Source organism: Homo sapiens, chromosome 20 (assembly GCF_000001405.40).
Source record: "Homo sapiens chromosome 20, GRCh38.p14 Primary Assembly".
Lineage (NCBI taxonomy): Eukaryota > Metazoa > Chordata > Mammalia > Primates > Hominidae > Homo > Homo sapiens.
Window position 1 is genome coordinate 48,452,835 of NC_000020.11, and position 3,076 is coordinate 48,455,910.

At 53.7% G+C, this 3,076-nt stretch overlaps 1 annotated feature.

The window, feature by feature from the left end:
* Positions 2,049-2,610: an enhancer, noted in NCBI's record as "H3K4me1 hESC enhancer chr20:47083129-47083690 (GRCh37/hg19 assembly coordinates)". NCBI's record gives its function as "activates a minimal SCP1, AML or CMV promoter by ChIP-STARR-seq in naive H9 embryonic stem cells {active_cell/tissue: H9 hESC(naive)}" and the evidence as "EXISTENCE:reporter gene assay evidence [ECO:0000049][PMID:30033119]".

Consider the following 3,076-nt stretch of genomic DNA (forward strand, 5'->3'; position numbering starts at 1 on the left):
TCTGAAAAGAAGCCATTTAATCATCAGAGATGCCCTAGAGGTCCAGTGTAATTGTGGGTTGGTTTAAAAGCGGCTGCTCTGACCTCCAAGGACATCTGCTAACATGGTGTGCAGTCACTCACACTCCACGCTGCTGTGTGCTTAAACGCTGCATGAGGATTTATTCATTTGTTCCTCACAATAGTTCCATAATCATCCCCATTCATAAACGCAGAAACAGGCCCAGAAAGGCTAATTAAGTTAATGTGTCAGTGATAGAGCTGAGATTTCAACCCAGGAAGCCTGGTGCTGATGGGGTCCACACACTTCACTACACCATGTGGCCCTTGAAATGTGTCCCAGGTTCCAACTGCAAGGACATCTTTATGGGGGCAGGGCTTGAAGTCAGTTTTTCCTTGGGTCCTGCAGTGTCCATCAGGAAGGGTGAGGTTGGCTGTGATTCAGATTTCAGCTTAGCTGCTGTCTTTGCTGGAAGTCACCCCCCAAGACCTGTCTCAAGATCTCCTCCACCTCCTCCTTCAGGACTCAGGTCAAATGTCCTCCCCTCATTTACTGAGTCCCCACCGGTCGTCGCTCCACCACTTCAGCCTGGTTAAGTTTCTTTCTAGCACATTTCACTGTCCAAAGTCATCTTGAGTGTCGCTTTGACTTCTTGCTTGTTGCGTGTCTTTGACTGCGAGTGTCAGGTCCATGGGGGCAGGAACTGGGGCACAGCTGCATCTGCATCCCTAGTACCTGGAACCATGCCTGGCACAAGCATTGTTCAACAAACACCTGCAGGATGAGCGGGAGGCGCTGCCCCTGGAAGATGCTGGAAGAAACCGCCAAGGCGGCCCCATCCAACCTGTGCACTGAACACAGGAAGCCACAGGAGCAGGGGGCATGAGATGGCCCCTGAGGCTGTGCTCATGACCACCCGGTGGCACTGCCACACAGGCACGCCAACCACTTACCTGTTACGTGACCTTGAGCAAGTTTTTTAACCTGTCTAGGCCTGTTTCCTCATCTGTAGAATGACGATAGTCATCATAGAGTAACTGTAAGGAATACATTTCCTGAGTCCATCCATCCACATATTCATGTAACATAGCATCACGTGAATGTGAGTCATGATCGTTCAACTTATTGTCATCGCCCAGGACAAGGACGGCCTGAAATTCTTGAGACTGGTAAGATTTGCAGGCAGAACCTCAAAAGTGGTGGAGGGAGACCCATCCACACTCATCACAGTCATCACTGGGGCCGGGAGATAAACCACTGAGACCTCTTCAGCCTTGATCTGCCAGCCACAGCTAAGAAGGGAGCCATGCTCCTGTGTTCTGGTCCCAAGGGACTTTGTTGGGATCCTCCCCATCGCTATTTGATTACACAAGTGACAGACCCCAGTAACTGCCACCTTCCAGGCCTCTAGCCTCGTCCACATTTCCCTTCATTGTGAGCTCCTTTGCTCCTGTCTTGCTGGATTCTTCATTTCAAACATCCCAGTGCAAGGTCCTCTGGAAACCTTGAACTGTGTCTGTTGCCTGCATTCCTTAGAAAGCAACCCAGCACCGGCGAGATCTTCACGTTCTCACTGTTCAGAAGCACTTCAGGGGAGGGGTGCCGCCGGTGACTCCTGTCTCAATTCTTCCCCAAAGGCCTGGAGATGTAGGAGAGCTCTGGAAATTACACAAGGATTCCACAACAGCAGCACAATAGCCCGTGATTCGACCAAGATGTCAAAATCAGCATGTAGAGGGTGCGATTGAAAGTGTGGTTGGCACCAGAACATCACTTTTAATTGAGCCTGTGCCTACATTTTTGCATGCAACATGGAAATTAACAGCAGAGTGATAAAACTTCGAGAAAAACTAATCACCCTTGCTGTCTGCTCCTGCCCGTCCCTTGTTTAACCTGTACTCTCCTGCCCCCGACTCCCCTTCCCAGAAGGGTCCTGGAGGTTTCTATCACAGGCCAGGCTGCTACATTCACAACACATCCCAGCTCAGCCCAGCCCCTCCAGGGCTCTGAGAGAGTTGTCTCCCAGGCCCATCTGCTCAGACATAACCCCATGAAAAGAGCTCAGTGTGGCAGCCAGGGCTGTGTTGACTGCAGAAAGGACAGAAGATGATGGGGTGAGGGTCTGGGCAGTCGGGGGTTCGTGCATTGTGTGGGTCTCACACGTGGCTTCCCTCCAACAAGCCCTCTGCATTCCTGGTCAGACGTGGGGAGGAAGGGAGGGAGGGGAGAAAGTGAGGCAGCAGAGCTGGGGAGGGGCCCAGGTTGCAGGGACTTGTGTGCAGGGCACGAGATGTCACTGGGGGCTTCCTACATGAGACACAGTGAGCCGTCAGGATTCAGGGGGCATGTTCTGAGAGAAGAGCCCAGGGGAATACGGGAAAGAGGCAACATGAGAATCCATCAGCCACCACCCCAGTCCTTCCCTCCTCTGCCCAGGACCAGAGCTGGGGCCTGGGAGACAGGGCGGGCTTTCTGCAGGAGGGACACCCACCCTGAGAGGAACTCAGGCTGTCATAGCTGCACAGACATTGCAAGCCAGGAGCAGTGGTCACACCAGTGGGGCAGGGGCATCGGGAGGGGGTGGAAACAGCAGGTCACCCACGGGCTGTAAGCATCTATCTTTGAGGTGACCGAGGGGACCCAAAGCAAGTGACAGAGATGCATGCTCCTCAGCAAGCCTGAGAGGTCTCTGGGGACAGTGGGTCTGGGGGCAGGAAGCAGCAGGGGGCTCTTACAGGTGCCGCATCGAGATCTGGCCACTTCTACCATGAGCAGCAGGCACTCCCTGGGGATTCCATGTCCTCAGCCTCTGGTTGAAGGGCTTCCCAGCCTCTCCCTTTCTCTGTTTTGGGGGATTTGGGCGGGTACTGGCATCTCCATCTGTGCACTCCTGACCCCTGAGTGACGTAAAGTAGGCCCTCCCCTTAGACACATTTCAGTCCTGTCCCACATAGCCCGGGCTCAGGGATGTGGCCCTATCCCGGTGTCTCGGGAGGAAATGGGGCTTGAATTTCTCATGAGACACCAGACACCCGGTGTCTCACGTGCTGTGTAAGAGGATGCTTGGCGCTGCGAC